At 37.6% G+C, this 21004-nt stretch overlaps 1 long non-coding RNA gene across 2 annotated transcripts in view; it reads right to left on the reverse strand.

Moving 5' to 3' along the window:
• Nucleotides 1–20336, reverse strand: part of LOC105372091 (uncharacterized) — an 87209-nt gene extending 66873 nt beyond the window's left edge. For both annotated transcript variants that reach the window (XR_007066349.1, XR_935421.3), the window contains exons 1-2: nt 20248–20336; nt 13992–14118 (exon numbers count right to left, since the gene is read on the reverse strand). This is a non-coding gene — a long non-coding RNA (uncharacterized LOC105372091). The remainder of the gene's footprint in view (nt 1–13991; nt 14119–20247) is intronic.
• Between the last annotated feature and the right edge of the window lie 668 nt (nt 20337–21004).

Below are 21004 nucleotides of genomic sequence, written 5' to 3' on the forward strand. Positions count from 1 at the left end.
GTAGTTAGAAAATATAATTTAAAATATATTTATCCCTTGCAGTTGTACAATTTTGCAAAATATTAAACCTTGTTTTCCTCCTTTATTAAGGGGGGGTAGTATTGTTGGTCTCATGTGTCTTTAATAATATGAGAATGGTCAAAATGGACATAAACTTTCTGGCAGAATGTTGGCATATAGTAAGCATTTAAGTAAAAGCTATTTGATTCCATATCTGATTTAATTTCTAGGAAAATTAAAAGCCACTTGAAGCCAAGATGGAAATAAGGTGAATGGTCAGACTTAGAGATACAATTTGGGTTATGAATAAACAAGATGTATCCCTGAAATGATTGCCTCAGCTGTGTGTGTGTGTCCACGTGTGCATGCGTGCATATGGCCATGCATGTAAATAAGCTCTGAAGGCACGGAAAAGGGATGTTCTAGAACTGTATTGAGTCAGGAGAGTAGCATGGCAGCATGTGAAAGGGGAGTGAGAACTGAGAAACCATGTGGTACAAACTCTTAATTTTGCAAATGAAGAAACTATAACCAAAAGAGGGGCAGAGGTAGATTGTTCCATGACATATAATTATGCAAGCACAAACCCTGGATTAGAACCCTGATGAACTCATTCCTAGAAAAAATATTCTTTCCACCACTTCAAGATGCAAAAGTATCTCTTGTGAAGAACAATATTGGTCATACATTCTCATCTGGTTTCTGCATGTTTAGTCTTATTTCTTCACCTTCACATATCCTATAGGAATTCTTCTTCTCCTCTGGTTAATAGGGTGTTATTCTCACTCTTGCATGTCTCTGAAACACAGGACCACCCACATCCTGTCTGCTGCTAAACTGAACTTGTCACCCTTCTTTTACCTGCTAATTATATCACAAGCTTCCCTGATTATAGATGAATGTCCTGACCTGGGCTGAGAACCCCATTATGCCCAGTCCTGGTGGGTCCTCAAGTGACTTCCCCACCTGTTATCTGAAGCTGGACAATCACAAAGCATTCTTATGTCCTTACAAATTAGAAAAATTATGTTTGATGTCTTCTCATTTGAACTTCTGCTTTTGTGCTGTCAGAGAGCCTGGGGCATACATTATACCTACCTTGTGACTAGATTTCTACCTAGATAAAGCCCAGGACCCTTTAGTTAATGCTAATGAAACAGAAAAATAAAGTCACAAACAATATCAATAATAATCACAATAATAATAGCAATAAATGAGTTCCTTCCAGTTTAGAGCAGCCAGAAAGAAAGGCATGTCAGGGACTTGCAGTGTGATATATTGTGGGAATGCAACCGCCCACCCTTACCAATTATTTAAAAAAAAAAAAAAAAAAAAAAAAGACATGCTTCACTGCCTGCTACAGATATAGTCTAGAAAAAATGAATAGCAGAATTACTGTCTGTCCCATGTTATAGTTCTTATTATCTCATAATTAAAAATTGCTGGGATGTTATATTCCCCTAATTTTTTTGTTCTCCTTAGTATATTCTTGTGGTTCAAGATTCAAATAGGACTGGGTTACTGTGGTGTAATGATGATGTTAGCCAAAAAGGACCAACATAATTGGATTCTACAATGTTGGTAAGATATGGAGTAATGTGCTGAGGCAGGACAACACAGTTGAGTAGGTGAGGAGGAAAGGTTGGTTCTTAGGGAGGATATCAAGTAATGTGGAGGCAGCAGGAGAGCAGAAACTGATTCCTACACATGATAGGAATCAACAGGCAGAGGGTGGATCATCACCAGGCTCAGCATCTAGAGATACAGTCAAATAGTCAAAAAGAACAGATGCCCAAGAGGCTTTAGAGCTTTTGAGATTTAAATCTAGACCTCAGAGCTAGCAACGACAAAATGTGGTTCAGAGAGAATGGGATAAATACCAAAGGCTTGCTAAGGTATGACATGTTAAAATGTTAATACTAGGACACTGGGATCAGCTGCTATCTGCCCATTTAGTACTCCCCCAGTTTTATGTAGCATTTCTATAAGGCTGAAAAAATGTTGGCTAATGCATTTCTCTTTCATACTAGGACCAGGGGGCCTAGGAATGTGGATTGCCTCAGCCTCCTGAGTAGCTGGAGCTACAGGCATGTGCAACCATGCCAAGCTAACTATTTTTATTTTTTTGAGATGGAGTCTTGCTCTGTTGCCCAGGTTGGAGTGCAGTGATGCAATCTTGGCTCACTGCAACCTCTGCCTCCTGGGTTCAAATGATTCTCCTGCCTCAGCCTCCCAAGTAGCTGGGATTACAGGCACCCGCCACCATGCCCAGCTAATTTTTGTATTTTTAGTTGAAACGGGGTTTCGCCATGTTGGCCAAGCTGGTCTTCAACTGCTGACCTCAGGTGATCCACCTGCCTTGGCCTCCCAAAGTACTGGGATTACAGGTGTGAGCCACTGCGCCCAGCTGCTAATTTTTTAATAGAGATGGTATTAGCAGCCTGTGGCCCTCCTCAGATGTCCAATCTTAAACTTTTTCAGACATCAGAATTGTTACCCAAATAAACATTTTTTCTTTATTATTAATTACCCAGTCTCAGGTATTCCTTTATAGAAATGTAAATGGACTAAGACAATGTCTAATTCACCATTAGCATTCGGTCTTGTCTTTGTGCCTAAGGCCCAGCAAGCCTCACTCTGTTTGTTCTTGCCTCTCCCTTGCACTTAAACTGCTGTTATTTCTTCCTCAATATTTGCTAGGCTGGTTGGGGAGGGAAGAGCAGGCCAGAATTCTCTGTTGTCCTTATTCAGCCTTAGCCTTAGTCATTGTGTTGCCCAGGCTGGTCCGTGAACTCAGGGGCTCAAGCAATTCTCCCACCTCAACCTCCCAAAGTGCTAGGATTGCAAGTGCGAGCTACCATACCCAGCCCTGGATATCCTCCTTCTAGCTCTTTGAAACTATATATTATGGTTAACTATAGGCATTCTACAGTGCTATACAACACTAGAACTTATTCCCCTTATTATGTTGTAATTTTGAATCCTTTAGCAAGTATCTCTTTATTCCCGTTTCCCCCACCGTTTTCAACCTCTAATATCTTCTGTTCTACTTTTTACTGATGAAAGGTCAAATTTTTTTTGCTTCCACATATGAGTGAGAATATGTGATGTTCAACTTTCTGTTCCTGGCTTATTTCACTTAACATGATGTCCTCCAGTCCCATCCATGTTGCTTTGAATTAAAAGATTTCACTTTTTTATGGCTGAATAGTATCCCATTGTGTATACCATATTTTCTTTATTCAATCATCTGTTGTTGGACACCTAGTTGATTCCATATCTTGGCTATTGTGAATAGTGCTGTGATAAACATGCGGGTCTGCGCAGAGGTCTCTTCAAGATACTGATTTCCTTTTCTTTAGATAAATGCTCAGTATCTGAATTATATGGTAGTTCTATTTGCAGTTTTTTGAGGAACATCCATATGGTTCTTCATAGTGGCTGTACTAGTTTACGTTTCTATCAACAGTGTGTAAGAGTTCACTTTTCTCCACACCTCACGAGCATCTGTTCTTTCTTGTCTTTTTGATGATAGCCGGGCCAACTGGGGTGAGATGACACCTCACTGTGGTTTCGATTTGCATTTCCCTGATGATTAGTGACACTAAGCATTTTAAAAATATATTTGTTGGCCATTTGTATATCTCCTTCTGAGGAATGTCCATTCAGATCATTTGCCCTTTTTTTTTTTTTTTTTGCTGTTGAGATACTTGAGTTCCTTGTATATTCTAGATATTAATTCCCTGTCAGATGTATACTTTGCAAATATTTCCCCCATTTTGTAGGTTGTCTTTTAACTGTATTGATTGCTTCCTTTGCTATGTAGACGCTTTTTAGATTCATATAATCCATTTGTTCACTTTTGCTTTTGTTGCCTGTGCTTTTGAGGCCTTATTCATAAAATATTTTCTCAGACCAATGCCCCAAAGTGCTTTCTATATGTTTTCTTCTAGTAGTTTTACAGTTTCAGGTCTTACTAAAGTCTTTGATTCATTTTGAGTTGATTTTTTGTAGGATGAGAAGTGGGGGGTCTAGTTTTATTCTTCTGTACATGAATATCCAGTTTTCCAGCACCATTTACTGAAGAGATTACTCTTTCCCCAATGTATGTTCTTGGTGCCTTTGTCAAAAATGAGTTGGCTGTACATAATAGATTAATTTCTGGGTTCTCTATGCTGTTTCATTTGTTTATGTTTCTGTTGTATACCATTTTATCTTTACTATTGGCTCATTATTTATATCTCTTTTAAAATTTTCTTTTCAGTAGTTGCCCCAGGATTTATAGTACACAACTTTAATTAGTCACAGACTGCCTTCAAATGATAGTATGCCATTTCATGTGTAGTGTAAGCACATTATGACACCATACTCCCACTTTTTTCCATCTGTCTTTTATGCTATAGTTATTATACATTATGCTGTTACTACATGCAATAAACACAAAATACATTGTTACTATTTTGCCTTAGAAAATTATATCCACAGTAATAAAAATTAGAATAAAATAAATTTTATACTTACCCTATGTCATTTCCATTGCTTTTTATTTCTTTTTGTATATTCAGTTTATTCTCTGGTATTATATTCCATCTGCCAAAAAAACTTCTTTTAACATTTCTTGCAGTGTTGGTGGTAGTGAATTTTATCAATTTTTGCTTGTATAAGAAATTTATTTTAGCTTTATTTTAGTTTTATTTTTAAAAGATATTTTCACTTGGTAGAGAACTCTCTATTGATGTCTTAAAAATTTAGCAGTTTGAAATTATTCTCCATTCTCTTGCAGCTTGCATACTTTCTGATGAGTAGTCTTCTGTAATTCTTATCTCTCTTTCAGTATATGTAATGTATCTCCCACCAACTTTCCCCCAGCTCCTTCTAGAGTTTTCTCTTTATCTTTGATTTTCAACAGTCCAAATATGATTTGTTTAGGTGTATTTTGGGGGATATAGATAAATATCTTGATTGATGTTCTCTGTACTTCTTGCAGTTGTGAGTTGGATGTTTTCATTAATTTTGAAAAATTTTTGGTCATTATAACTTTCACATTTTTTTCTCCTTTCTCTTCCTATTTTTTTTTGAAATTTCAATTGTAAATACAGTAGACTGTTTGACATTGTCCCACAGTTCTTGGATATGCTTCTGTTTCTTTTCTTTTCTTTTCTTTTCTTTTTCTTGCTTGCTTGTTTTTTTTTTGTTTTGTTTTGTTTTGTTTGTTTTTTGTTTTTTTTGCTTGCTTCCTTTTTCTATTCTTATTTCTTTCTGTTTTAGTTTGGGTACTTTTTGTTGACCTACCTTCAAGTTCACTGATTGTTTTTCTATTCTCTGTTACTCTTTTTATGAGTTCATCAAAGACATTTTTGTATATTTTGTTTCTCTTTTATTTTTGGCATATTCATTTGATTCGATCATGTAATTTCCATCTTTATTTCTGTTCTCTAAAATTTTTCTATATGTTCATACATCCCTGCCTTTTCTACTAAAGCCTTTAGTCTATTAATTACAGTTACTTTAAATTTCTTATCAGGTAGTTGAAGCATATGGGGCATATCTCAGTCTGATTTTATTGATCTTTTTTTCTTGATAGTGTGCCATTTGAATTTTTGCTTTATAATATTTTTTGGAAGATGAGCATTTGTGTAGGACTATAAAGGCTAAGACAAATAGTATTTTTGTTAGACATAGATATGCTTTTTAACTTTATCATGCCTATGCCTTTAGTGGTGGTGGTGGAGATGTTGAGTCAATCTAGTTTGGAATTGACCTGGGTTTGGATTTTGTTACTGCTGTATTTACCTTCTGTTTACCTTAGGCTTCAAATTCCTCTAGCATTAGCTTGCACATGAAAAAAAAAAAAACTGGTTTTGTCAGGGTTATTTTCTTAATGTCTGCTATAATTTGGTTTGTCTGACTGCTCCAAATCTTATGTTAAAATTTGATGTCTCATGTTGGAGGCGTGGCCTAATGGAAAACGTTTAGGTCATGGGGGTGCATCCCCCATGAAGGACTTGTTTCCCTCTATGCTGTACTCATGGTAATGAGTGAACTCTCTCTATTCATTTCCACAAGAGCTGGTTGTTAAAAAGAACCTGGCACCTCTATCTCTTACTTCTTCTCTTGCCATGTAATCCCTGCACAGCTGGCCCCCTCTTACCTTCTGCCATGAAACTCAAACTCCTGACCTCAGGTGATCCACCTGCCTTGATCTCCCAAAGTTCTGGGATTATGAGTATGAGCTACCATGCCTGACCATGAGTTTTTAATTTTTAGTAGAGATGGGATTAGCAGCCTGTGGCTGTCCTCAGATGTCCAATCTTAAACTTTTTCAGACATCAGAATTGTTACCCAAATAAACCACTTTCTTATTATTAATTACCCAGTCTCAGGTATTCCTTTATAGCAACATAAATGGTCTAAGACAATGTCTAATTCACCATTAGTATTGTGTCTTCCCTTTGTGCCTAAGGCCCAGAGAAGCTCACTCTGGTTGTTCTTGCTTCTCCCCTCCCCTTAAACTGCTGTTATTTCTTCCTCAGTATTTGCTAGGCTGGTTGCAGAGGGAAGAGCAGGTGGGAATTCTCTGTTGTCCTTATTCAGCCTTAGTCTTAGGAAAATTCTTTGTCCCTGGGTCTCATGTGCAGGTCCTTCTCCATGATCCTGCCTCTCCCTCAATAGTACAAGTTCTTTTGCGCCAACCAAGTGAAGTTGTTCCGACCTATTTCCTTCCCCAGGGGTTAAGATTTTTTTTTCTCTTCTATTCTCCCAGCTATGATGTGTTTCCACTTGTGCCCTGAGAGGTAAGAGGTTTTCTGTACTTCCTCCAGCAGCTTAAGGCTTTTGTTCTGCAGGGCAGCTAGAAGAGTAGAATCCAGGTGAGACTTGCTGCCTTTCCTAAAGTTATTGCTGCTTCCCTCCTCCAGGCATGCAGCACGTAGGAGGATTTCTCTAATCTTTGTCACCTTGCCCCCATCTTTCTTGTGAGTCAACAGTATGGTCCCTGGAAAAGATCCTGAGAGTTTGTACTCATTTTCTTTATGTCTGTGTCTCCCATGTTTCTATATTTTTAATCATCCTTTAGCAATGATTTTTCTTTAGCAATTGTTACAAATTTTAGCTGAGTAGTTTTTACCAGATTGCAGGATGCCTGGCACCTGCCCCTAATAAGCAAGTGCTGTGTCCTGTCTTTCCTTGGAGACTTCTCCCTTCCTTTGGATTTCAGGCTACTCAGTTGTCCTGCAAACTCAGCTCTCTGATGTCTTCGAGAAAAATAATCTTTTCATAGATTATCCACTTTTCTTCATTCTAAGAGTGAGGATGACATTTTTCAGTTTTCTGCATCCTAAGCTGAAGCCAGCTATTTGTAAGCTGTTGTTTAATTTGCCAGGCTTTTTGGGGGGGTCTCCTATTCCCTAAATATACTTTCTAAAGCTTTTAATATTTTTATACATAGATGTAGTAAACATGGTTATTTTGTAGTATTTGTGTGATTTTATACAACTATAAAGTCTTTGTGAATATATTTTTTTTCTTTCTGTTGTTTCTGCTGCTTCGTGGATGTATTCACTTGTTTTGTGTCCCTGTTTATTTTGATGGTGGGCTAGTCCTCTCTCTCAAAAACATATCTGTGTAGGTTCCCAAAGTCTTAGGATGAATATATTTTCCTCTAGAAAAAGTTTACTTTTTTTCTGGATCCCCAGGGTGCCAGAAGCTCAGAATCACTTTAAATCTATTCTCGCATGGTTTGTGGTTTCTTTGATCACCCCAGGGATTAAAAGATGGGACATATATCCATATATAATTCTGTCCTCTTGGAATTAAACTCTCTTTCTCTCTCTCCCTCTTCCTTCCCTCCACTGCCCTTTTCCCTTCTTCTCTTTAATAAGGCAATTGTCCTCTACTTTCAGGAAGGAAAGCTTTCAGGATAAAACACTAGAGAAACTCATTTATACAGACATATGGAGATTTAGAAGGACAGAAATATTTGAATCCAAAGAAGCAATCCTTTATGATAAAATATATCTCCCCAGAGATTATTAAATGGAGTAGTCTATGGGAAAAAAGGGAGACAAGGAGGGACTCTTCCACGGAACCCTCCATTATCTTACTACCTATCTCTCTTACAAAGCCAGGTAACTGTTGGCCTAGAAGGCCAACTTTAATGTGAACTATAGATAGAAGAGAGCTGGATGCTGGATCAACAACTTGCTAGATAGTCTAAAACCTGGAGGGTAGAAACCTGTGTGTGGGCAGCATTATTGCTTTATTCAGTGGCTAGGCTGGGAGTTTCAATGAGATGGAATGCACTCTACAGAGAAGGTTACTGAGATCTGGCCTGATTCTCACTGCCTGAAGCTAATCATTGGTTCCCTGTGCTTCTCTGAATGTTGGTTACTGAATCGTTTTTCAATAAATGTGTTTTCCATATCTTCTGTAGGTCTTCAGCAAGGAATAAATGTTGATTCTATACACTTTTTACATAAAAATATATACCTCAATGGCTTTCCCTAAAGCAAGACAGAGTTAAGAGTTTATCAAAATCAATAAAGTTTAAGGAAGGGAATATCATTAAAGCTTGGCAGATCAGGAACCTTAATATAAGGGTCAGTTTTCCCCATTCCCTACCTTCTCCCAGTAGGTGTGAACTTCAAGGCCTGAATTTATCTTTTTGCTCCTCAGACTCAATGACTTCAGGATTGTTCTTTGAAATTTATACCTCAGCTTTGTTTCAATTTGCTCCTATTACGAAGCAAAAGAAGAGCTTTGCTCCTGTTTTCCTACAAAGAACTCTGCTTACATTTTCCACCATTCATAGTACAGGAAAACTGCCAGACATTTCCCAGAAAATCTAACCCTTAAAGTTATGGTGAAACCCTAGTCCCATAATAGCTTTATGTTATAGAATTAGATAACTAAAGAAAAGTGCAAATATTGTTTTTATTTATTTAGAAGGGTTTTTTTTTTTTTTTTTTTTTTTTTTTTTTTTTTTTTTTTGGTCTAGAAGAGACATCAGGTACCTTACCAGGAAAAGTAAAAAAAAAATAGCAAAATGGTAAATAAAGGAAAGAAGGAATGAAGGAAGAAAGGAAGAGGAGAGAGAGAGGAAAGAAGTAAAGGGAACCAAACATTTCACAAATACTTCCTATGCGTTGGCCACAAATTTGGTTATAAGACATAATTTAGTTTACCTTGAAAAAAGCCTGATGAATCGTGCAAATTATGTAGTGTCTTATCAGGTTCAAAAAGATGACTTGTTCAGGATACCCAGAACTCTCCTAACATTAACAGTAGCTAGGAATGTCTCATAAAGAGGACTACTAGCCATCATAAAGAGGACTCTGAGTAAAAGAATTAACAACACCCTTTACAAAATCATTTGGGTAGTGACACAGCACATACTCCTTGGAAGCTTTTCTTATGAGATCCCTCAGCATTGACCAATGACACCATACAGAAATACAATCTATATAGGTAACACCACAGGAGAATAAAACAGTATATAATGGGGCCCCAGACATGCAGCAGGGGTATTTCCGAGTCCTGGGAGATAATAGAATAAACTCATGGAGGACCTGTCCTTGAAGATGGATATTTGGACAAAGGAAATGATGATGTCAGACATCAATGTTTTGTATATATTTTAAGTCTTTTAAATGTATTGAGTAAATGCATGAGGAATATGGAAAGTTAGTTTTCCCAATGACATCAAGTGTTTTGAGGGTTGATGTGATAAAACTTTGTATCCATAACACAGTGTTTAGGACATAGTAAATGTTCAATAAATAGTAGTCATTGAATTAAGCCAAAATAAAAGGCAGAAATATACACAACTGGCACATTGAATAGTAAGAAGACTGGCTTGACGGAAAAGGAAGACTAGGTGGAGAGGAATTCAAACATTTCCTCTTTCAGGAAGCTTTTCTTTTTTAAAAACTTATTTTTTGTATACTTAATTTGTTTAAACATTTATTTTAGGTTCAGGGGTACATGTGCAGGTTTGTTATTGTGTATTGTGGGAGTTGGTGTACAGATTATTTGGTCAACTAGATAATAAACATAGTATCTGATAGGTAGTTTTCAAATTCTCACCCTCCTCCCACCCTCCACCCTCAAGTAGGTTGTGGTGGCTATTGTTCCCTCCTTTGTGTTCATATGTACTCAAAGTTTAGCTCCCAATCATAAGTGAGAACATGTGGTATTTGGTTTTCTGTTCCTGTGGTAATTTGCTTAGGATAATGGCCTTCAGCTCCATCCATGTTGCTGCAAAGGACATATCTTATTATTTTTTATGGGTACATAGTATTCCATTGTGTATATGTACCACATTTTTTCATTTTAGTCTACCACTGATGGGCATTTAGGTTGATTCCACGTCTTTGCTATTGTAAATAGTGCTGCAATGAACATACGCATACATATGTCTTTATAGCAGAACAATTTATATTCCTTAGGGTATATACCCAATAATGGGATTGCTGGCTTGAATAGTAATTCTGTTTTAAGTTCTTTGAGAAATTGCCAAATTGCTTTCCACAATGGCTGAACTAAATTACTTTCCCACCAGAAGTGTATAAATGTTTCCTTTTTTCCACAACCTCACTAGAATCCAGCATCTGTGATTATTTGATTTTTTAATAATAACCTTTCTGACTGGTGTGAGATGGTGTCTCATTGTGGTGTTGATTTGCATGTTTCTACTGATTAGTGATGTTGAGCATTTTTCATATGCTTTTTGGCCATGTGTATGTCTTCTTTTGAAAACTGTTCATGTCCTTTGCCCACATTTTAATGGGTTGTTTCTTTTTTTGCTTGTAAATTTATTTAAGTTCCTTGTAGATTTCTGGATATTAGACCTTTGATGGATGCATAGTTTGCAAATATTTTCTCCCATTCTGTTGGTTGTCTATCTACTCTGTTGATAGTTTATTTTGCTTTGCAGGAGCTCTTTAGTTTAATTAGGCCCCATTTATTAGTTTCTGTTTTTGTTGCAATTGCTTTTAGTATCTTCATCATGAAAACTTTGGCAGGGCCTATGTCCAGAATGGTATTTCCTAGGTTGTCTTCCCAGAGTTTTTATAGTTTTAGGTTTTATGTTTAAGTCTTCAAACCACCTTGAGTTGATTTTTTGTATATGGTATAAGAAAGGGGTCCAGTTTCCATCTTCTGTGTATGGCTAGCCAGTGATCCCAACACCATTTATTGAATAGAAACTCCTTTCCCCATTGGTTATTTTTGTTGATTTTGTTAAAGATCAGAGGGTTGTAGATGTGCAGCATTATTGCTGGGCTCACTATTCTGTTCTGTTGGTCTATGTGTCTGTTTTTGTATGAGTGTCATGCTATTTGGTTACTTAGCTTTGTAGTATAGTTTGAAGTCAGGTAACACAATGCCTCCAGGATTGTTCTTTTTGCTTAGAATTGCCTTGGCTATTTGGGCTCTTTTTTTTCTGCTTTATTTTTTATTTTTATTTTTGTTTTTTTATTTCAATGGGTTTTTGGGGGAACAGGTGGTGTTTGGTTACATGAATAAGTTGTTTAGTGGTGGTTTCTAAGATTTTGGTGCACCCATCATCTAAGCAGTGTACACTGTACCCAATGTGTAATCCCTCACCCTCCTCCCCTTTCCCTGAGTCCCCAAAGTCCATTGTATCATTCTTAAGTTGGGCTCTTTTTTGGTTCCATATGAATTTTAAAGTAGTTTTTTCCAGTTCTGCAATGAATGTAATTGGTAGTTTAATGGGAATAGCATTGAATCTGTAGATTTGCTTTGGCAATATGCAGGAGGCCTTTCTTATTCACTCATCTTTAGGCTGAGTTAATCACTTCTCCTGAAGACTTCTTTCTCTGCCTACCAGGGGCTCCTACTAGGGAATTTTCAGACCATGTTGTAATTATTTGCTTACCCTTCTGCTCCCGTTTACTCTCCCTACCTGCCAACCCAGGTGTTCCTTGGATACAAAGACTCAGGGTTTTATACTGTTGTATCCCAAGCCTAAATTCTTAATGAATATTGACTGAATGAGTGGGAAGATTGGGCCTGATTACTGGAATAATTTTGAAGGAGTTTGATCTCCAACCTTTACAAAGACTTTGTCCTACAGAAAAAAAAATTAAGTTCCTTGAGCAAATGAATTAAATAGATATTATTTTCTAGGAATATGAATGCTTTTATGTCTAGGTTTGCATAAGAAGTTACTAGAAATGAGACCAGTTCTGAAGCTGTTGTAAGGACAAAGGGCTGGAATGACAGGAACCAGAATTATGGTAAACAAGTAGAAAACAAAAAGAGTTGTCTCAGCAGGTTGTTTTTCATATCAAAATAGCTCATGCAGGAAAAAAAAAAGTTTAAAGTGAAGTTTTGGGCCAAGTGCGGTGGCTCATGCCTGTAATCCCAGCACCTTGGGAGGTAGAGACAGGCGGATCATGAGGTCAGGAGTTTGAGACCAGCCTGGCCAACATGGTGAAACCCCATCTCTACTAAAGATACAAAAAATTAGCCGGACGTGGTGGCATGCACCTGTAATCCCAGCTACTCGGAAGTCTGAGGTAGGAGAATCGCTTGAACCTGGAAGGTGGAGGTTGCAGTGAGCCAAGATAGCGCCACTGCACTCCAGCCTGGGTGACAGGGCAAGACTCCATCTCAAAAAAAAATAAAAATGAAATTTTGGTTAAATTCTACTTCTTTCTTTCCTATCACATGAAAAATTATTGCCCCAAGTCCAAAAATAAACGTTCTTCCCATGATTATTCACGTATCTTTAATACCCTTGGGGAAAAACTGTAACAGCAGCATGAATATGTCAGTAATGAACTGACATATTCATTAGGTTTTTCTAATAATGAATATGTCCTAGGTTGTCTTCCCAGAGTTTTTATAGTTTTAGGTTTTACGTTTAAGTCTTCAAACCACCTTGAGTTGATTTTTTGTATATGGTATAAGAAAGGGGTCCAGTTTCCATCTTCTGTGTATGGCTAGCCAGTGATCCCAACATCATTTATTGAATATAAACTCCTTTCCCCATTGGTTATTTTTGTTGATTTTGTTAAAGATCAGAGGGTTGTAGATGTGCAGCATTATTGCTGGGCTCACTATTCTGAGCCCAGCAATATTCAAATATTCAAATTCTGAATATGAATTTAATGACATAAGCCATTAGGTTTTTCTGCCTTGAAGGGAATGAGGATTAAAGGGAACTCACATCTCTGAAAGAGTTGGGCTTGGGCTTTTCTTCTCCTCCAACACTAACATTAGAAAGTCACTTACCCTCTCCTAGTGTCTATTTCTTTATTCATCAAAGAAAGGATAATAATATTTTCCATAGCTTAGTTATGGGGCTACTGAGAACTGGGACCTTGTCTTATATCCAAATACTTAGCACAATGTAATAGTAGGCAATCAGTAAATATCCGTCCGAAGAATGGATAAAGGAGACAATGAATATTATATTGCTGAGAAAAGTCTACACATCTTATAAATTTAATACCATTATAAAAAATAAAGCTATCTCATATTTGTGCCATTTCATGTTAGAAATCACTCACAAAGAGAGAGGAAGTTTTTTTCTCACACTACACTGCTTGTTTAAGTGTAGCTGGTTGTGGGGCAGGGATAGAGGGGATACTGATGTGGAAGAAATAGTGAGACACTTTATTTCTTCAGTCTCAGGTATGTTGGGGGATGTTTATAGAGATTGGCCATTTCTGTAGAAGATTCTGGATTCCACCCTGCTTGCCAGAGGCTTCTGTGTCAACAGCCAGAATGAACGTATGTCTAATTTTAACTCAAGTGGAGCAGACATTTATTTTGGGAAGACAGGATCCTTTTGAGAATGGCTGCAATTGCCTGTGGGTTGGATCAGAGTTGAATTTCTTGATCATTTTGCTTCACTATCGGGAAAGATATCATTGAATTTTTACCTGGCTCTGATATGATTTCTTCCTTTAACGTTCTAAAGGACGATTAGAAGAATTTATTTTTAATTCTCCAAGATGCCTTACCTGTTGCACACTTCCTGGGATCTTTATCTGATTTAGCCTTCATATATGGCTGAGGGAAGTGTTTAAGCAGCAACCTTTGATGGTGTTTTAGGCGACCACATTTCCCTCACCCCTCAGGGCACAGCAGCTGTGATGAGAGAAGGAAACACTGGATTGAGAGTTAGATAGACTAGGAGTTCCTTCCAAGATCTTCTACTTATTAGCACATAACCTCAGGCATGAGAACTACTAAAAGCTCCCATTTATTCTTACATAAATTACATAAATATGTGGGGATATATATATATATATATATACATACATATATTTATATAAAATAATATTGCTTTTCTTGACCCCATAACTATGCCTGGAGCTTATGTCATTTATCTTAACACCTAAACCTTTCAAGACATATGTAAGTTATTATTCTTGGAATCTGTAAGGTCTAATTCCACAGTGATTCTTTATACCTTTTTATACTGCTTTAAAGATGGAATTGGGCATGAACAAAAAGAAAGGGATAAAGGAAATTTTCAAAGAATTTTTTCCAGATAAGGCTGCCTCTGTTTGGAAGCCAGTGGTAACAGTAAAGACCCCAACATGACGGAACTACTTGGCTAGGAGCTGGTGACGTCTTACTCCCAGAGGAGTGAGTACAGATTGCTGTATTCTCAAGACCCTATGACCAAGTGCTGTTGCAGAGGTACCTACAGGTCCATGGGGCAACTTCATTCTGAAAAGCATTCTATTCGAGTTGAGGAATGTCTGCTGGAATCTTCTCTATGCCTCAGTGTAGGGTATATGGTGCTGGGATAGTATAAGAAATGGTCCTTGACCTCTAGGAGTTCAGTTTATTGCAGGTGTAAGATATAGACCAAAGAGACAATCATAAAGCAATGATAAACAGTGTATAACAAAATGTAAGTGAAATGCAATTCAAGTAGGGTGACAGAGAAATGGAATGCCTGAAATGCCAGCTCAGGTTCCACTAGCTCTGTAAGCTTCAGAAAATCACTTTATTTCTCTGGGATTCATTATGCCATCTTTTAAATAAGGGGCGTATGTACAGGTAAGAGGCAGATATACTCAGATCTCTTGCAGTAAAAATCCCAAGCATGCCTCTGACAAATTAGAATAAGACATCCTTTTCCCCAGGCAGGGCACATTGTTGGCTTGTTGAGCAGAGAATAAGTTATCAGGCCTCACTTGTCCTCTTCTTGCCCCGCTTTGCACAGTGCCTAACCTGCACAGTGCCTATATTGCAGTCTTTGGTCTATCCTGGCTCTGATACTTGTTTGCCCTGTGGTCTTTAGCAAGTTATTCCCTAAGCTTCATCTTTCTTACCTGAAAAATGGAAGAATTATGTCCACTTAACAGCATTGTTTTGAGTATAAAGTTTAAAGCAAATATAAAATATTAGTCACAAACTAAGCATTTAGTGTCAGTTATGAGTGAGATCATTGAGACAATGTGGAAAATGCCATGATGTATTAAATAAGTATCACATTTTTGAAAGCCAAGGAGAGGAACACAATGAGCAAGATGTGACTTCATGTAGGAGATGTGCCTGCAGGTGGTCCTTGCAGGATGGTGGAGTTCTGATCAGCATCTACCTGGGATCACATAATTTAGGCAGGGGAATGTTCTTCGAGATCAGGGTAAGTGTAGTGTGTGACAGAGTGAGTGAGCAAATCCGCTTTCTTGGAATAGAAACTTGATATCAGGAATGTCAAAAAGAGGGCATGAGTATTCAGATGCTTCAGAGGATAAAGAACTATGGGAGAGATAATGATTGCTAAAGAAATTATTTTGAGAACTCCTATTAAATGCATTTGGAATTTCTAGATCAAGTTTCCACACCACTTAATTTTGGTCTGTAGTTTCTGTTTCCCTATCTTCTGTGTGAATACAACCTAACATCTATCTTACTGGTTTGCCCTTCAGCTGTGTCTGGATTTTTTAATTATATATATATTTTTATTTATATTTTTAAAACTTTTTTTGTCATAGGTACCTACTCTTTTTTCCCCCCATTAGTTTTTGGGAAACAGGTGGTATTTAGTTACGTGAGTAAGTTCTTTAGTGGTGATTTCTGAGATTTTGGTGCACCCATCACTCAAGCAGTATACATTGTACCCAATTTGTACTCTTTTATCCCTCACCTTCTTCCCCCAAGTCCACAAAGTCCATTGTATCATTCTTTGCATCCTCAGAGCTTAGCTCCCCACTTATGAGTGGGAATGTATGATGTTTGGTTTTCTATTCCTGAGTTACTTCACTTCGAATAATGCTATCCAGTTCCATCCAGGTTGCTGCAAATGCCATCATTTCATTCCTTTTTATGGCTGAGTAGTATTCCCTGATATATATATGTGTATATATATATATATATATATATGGTATATATACATATATATACCACATTTTCTTTATTCACTCATTGACTGATGGGCACTCAGGTACCTACTTTTATTTTAATCTCCTGTTTTTGTTTTATAGGCTGTTTTTTCAAGAATATTATTTCATCCATTATCTCTCTGAGGATATTTAAATATTTTAAGAGCCTTTCAAATTACTCTGTTATCTCTGTTTCCTTTTATGGTGTTAGCTTTCTTCATATTATCGGTAGCTGTTGGTTAAATGCTTAGCTTCAAGAAAATTTTTCCACATAACTTTCCCACTGAAATTTTCATTATCTGTGAAAGTCTCCCTGTCAAGTGGCAAAGCAATACGGTTCTGTCCTCATTTCACCACCATGTTTTCTCCTGTCTGTATCTCTTTTGAGGAAGTTTCCTCATTTTTTTGTTCATACTACAAAGTATGGCTTTGAAGTAATTGATTTCTTTCTTACATATGCAATGGTTTTGTGCAAGAAGTGAAGATTTCAGGAAGAACCCAGTCCACTTTTTAGAAATCAGAAATCCAAAACTACCTCTTTCTAACATGTCCTATATGTCTAAAATGTTATAATTCTTTATGTTCCCTTAGGCATGTAACTACATGTTAAGGCACATTTTCTGGGTTTTACATCTTCTTTTTACTTTCTATTTCTTAAAAAGTTCAAATTGGGGCCAGGTGCGGTAGCTCACGCCTGTAATCCCAGCACTTTGGGAGGCTGAGGCGGGCGGATCACGAGGTCAGGAGATGGAGACCATCCTGGCTAACACGGTGAAACCCCGTCTCTACTAAAAATACAAAAAAATTAGCCAGCGTGGTGGCAGGCGCCTGTAGTCCCAGCTACTCGGGAGGCTGAGGCAGGAGAATGGCGTGAACCCAGGAGGCGGAGCTTGCAGTGAGCCGAGATGATGCCACTGCACTCTAGCCTGGGCGACAGAGCAAGACTCCGTCTCACTAACACACACACACACACACACACACACACACACAAAAAAAAAAGTCAAATTGGTGTTTGCAAAACACAATGGAGTCTGTACTAAAATATTACTGGACGCTGAATTTTTTTTTGAGGTTTGTGTTTAGCCTTATTTGTTATTCATTTCCAAACAAAACCAATGCCACGTTCAATTTTTCCACGTGATTTAGAATTGCTGTATCCAATACGATAGCCACTAGCCACCCAGGGCTACTCAAATTTAACTTAATTAAACTAAAATTGAAAATTCGGTTTCTTAGTAACACTCGCCACATTTCAAGGGTTCGGTAGCCAGTGGATAGCAGTTATCGCAAAGGACAGCACAGATAGAGAACATTTTTATCATCACAGAAATTTCTGTTGGATGCCATAGTTATTTGGATCATTGAGATTCCAGAGATATAAGCAGAATCTCTCCTAATATGTGTGTGTGTGTGTGTGTGTGTGTGTGTGTGTGTGTGTGTGTGTGTGTGTGTGTGTGAGAGAGAGAGATTTCATGTATAATGCAGAATTTCTTCAGTAAACAATATGGAATATGACTGGCAAAAACTAAGAACACAGTTTTTTAATATATTTGACTATATTTGTTTAGATCCTTTAGCTAAAACCATATGAATGGGCTGTGAGTTCTTCACTGGTGCAAGTCCACTTGGAGTGGTCTCAACTCTACTGCTGTCTGTGCCCTGTACCTCCCTCTCCAAGATAAGAACCCAGCAGGGTTTGTATCCTCTGAGGCTTCCTCTCTGCTTGACTTGCAGATGGCCATTCTCGTGCCGCCTCTTCACATGCTCTTTGCTCAGTGTGGGTTCATCCTTGCCATTTCTTATGCCTGTCCATATTTTCTTTTCTTATAAGGACACCAGTCAGATTGAATTAGGGCTCCCCCTAACATCCTTATTTTAACTTAATCAGATATTTAAAGGTCTTATCACCAAATACAGTCACATTTAAAGGTACTGGGTGGTTAGGGATTCGACATATGAATTTTAAGGGAACACAATTTAGCTCATAATAGATAATGTCCTTAGAACTGAAGAAAATATAACCAACTCATGATATACTTAGAAGGCTATGAGTTCCCCTGATGAATTTAATTTTTTGTATAATTGCAGGTCAAGTAGAAAATCCCAGTGGTTCCACCATGTTAGTTCCATGTAATTAGTGTGTTGGTTATCGGTATTTATTTTTCCTCACTAGTGAGGGTGCTTGGGACCTAGGAGTGAATATTTCTTCTAAAATCATGAAGAAGGTTGTAGAGTCATCTTGGGATTGCCATTCAACTTCTTTGCATCTCTGTATCCTCCAGTGTAAAATGGAAATAATCACAACTGTCTTATAATGCTGTTTTCAGTTATTTTCTACAAAGTATCTATCACAAACCCTATTTCGTAGTTCATGCTTTATAAATGTCTTTTGGAAAAAGAAGAGACTGAGTCTGTACTGACTTCCAAACAACCTATATTTTTAAAAATTTCTTCATCTAGATTTTTTTCCCCTTTACTGACAAATTTAAATGCTCAGTCAATGCAGTAAGGCCCATGTAATTAAACACTCCAGTCAAAAGAACTCTACCTTACTAAGATTTAATGAAGAACTCAGAAGTATTCAGATGCAATAGACATAAGATTTTTTCCTCCACCAGAAGATTGCTGGCCACCCTTGCACAGAATACCTTGGGCTAGGGGAGTCATCTAGTTTGAAACAACCTCTATTCCTGTGAGTTTTCTCCAGGGAGAGCCACAGTGCTCTTACAATCCATCTGGAACTCCCTGGAGGAGCTTGCTCCATTATGTGTCTCTCAATTAATTATACCATGCCAAGAAATAACTAAGACACCAATACTTTTGAATTGGAAGGAAATCTAATCCTTTCTGCCATCCAATATAGGTGACCTTTCTTCTGCACTCCTTTCCTCCAGCCTCATGGGCACTTAGGCATATCAAGCTCACCCCAAGAATTCCTACCACACATTGAGATAAAAATCTCCCTGTCTATCACTTCCAGTCCTGAAAGCAATTGCAATTCCCCTAAGTCCAGCCTTAAAAATGGCCTTTAAGCCACATTTATGGACTAGAAAGGAACAAACTCATTGATTTAATGAGATCATCCATGTTTCACTAACAACAGTTTTAAAATGCTGTTCTGAGGACCATTCCTGCAGTTCAAGTTTGCCTGTTGTGAATTGAGTCATTACAGGTATGTGGGTGAGTGGATGATGCCAACCTTATGGAGAGCTGGTTGAATGATTAATGGCCTTGGCTTCTGATTTTAGAGGTTCCCATTAATCACAAGGGATTGAGTCTTTTTCATGAAGACTCTGTTATAGCTTCTCCTGCCATTTCCTCACTTCCTTCCTAAAGTGAGTAAGATGGATATTTTTGATCTTGGAGTGTGGAAACCATTTCTTATAAATCCCTTTGGAAATTTCTGGACCAAATTACCCTAAAAACACATTTCTTAATCCTATACTATTTGAACCACTCTGGAACAAGAAGAAAATTGGTAAAAATGCCAATGAATGCACTCCTTCAGCTTGGTCTGTGAAGTTATTATCTTTATCATGGGGAATTTCAAGAAAAGCATTTATAGAGGTCTTAATTAAAGAATACCACTATCATTGGAATCATTAAAATGTCAAAGAAGCTGTATTTGCCACCAGTACTGTCTCTTGACCATGGATGGATAAAGAGTTACATGAGATAAGAGCACGGTGAAGGGAAATTAGCCCCACAATGGGGACACAATATTTGGGGTCAAATCCTGGTTCTGAAATTGACTGACTTTGTTGCACATAACTCTTACCTGCCTCAGTTTTCACATCAGAAGTAACAAAAGAGGAATCAAGATAAGGTTATTTGAAGAGTATGGAAAAATCTGTATAAATATTAGTCAGATTCTTACCTAAACTTCACTGACTTCTTTCTTCTGTCCTTTATGACTCCAAGATTTTAGTCATACTGTGCAAAATTGAAGTGGTTTGCTCAGATAAATTTTCAAAGTCAGCAACAAGCTAACCAATGGGACTGAACAATAGCATGGTGAGATGGAAAAAAATGGGGGTCATACATTCCTGGGTTTAAATTCTCACTTTACTTACCCATGTATCCTTAAGTAAGTTACTCCACTTCCTTCATTTAATCTTTAAAATAATATTTACCTCATAGGATTATTGTAAGATTAAAAAAGATAATATATATCTAAAATAGTTGCATAATGCCTGGCACCTATTAGGTACTCATTAAATATTATATATACATAAACGCCTCTTCCTCCCCCTCTTTTTCTTCCTTCCATAAAAGTCACCTAATCTCTGATCAGTCAATGTGGAACTTGTGATAGGGAATGGAGGAGACAGAGGATAGAGTGAGCAATAGATTCAGCTGGAGCCAGAGAGTCTGCAGGACAGGAGAACAATCTACCAAGATCTTGCCCATCTGTTAAGGAATAGGAATTCTGTAAGAAATTTATTCTCACCTCCCATCACAGACCTCTGATGGGTCTTCCCTGCAATATGGTGGAGAAGCAGAAGAAAGGACAAGGAAGGATTCTTGATCTTAAAAGTTTCTACAACCGCCCTCCTACGAAATCTCATTTCCTAGGCCAGGACACTTGGCTGAAAATAAACTGTGAAGCTCTCTGAGCCACTTGGAAAAATGCC

Source organism: Homo sapiens, chromosome 18 (assembly GCF_000001405.40).
Source record: "Homo sapiens chromosome 18, GRCh38.p14 Primary Assembly".
Classification (NCBI taxonomy): Eukaryota; Metazoa; Chordata; class Mammalia; order Primates; family Hominidae; genus Homo; species Homo sapiens.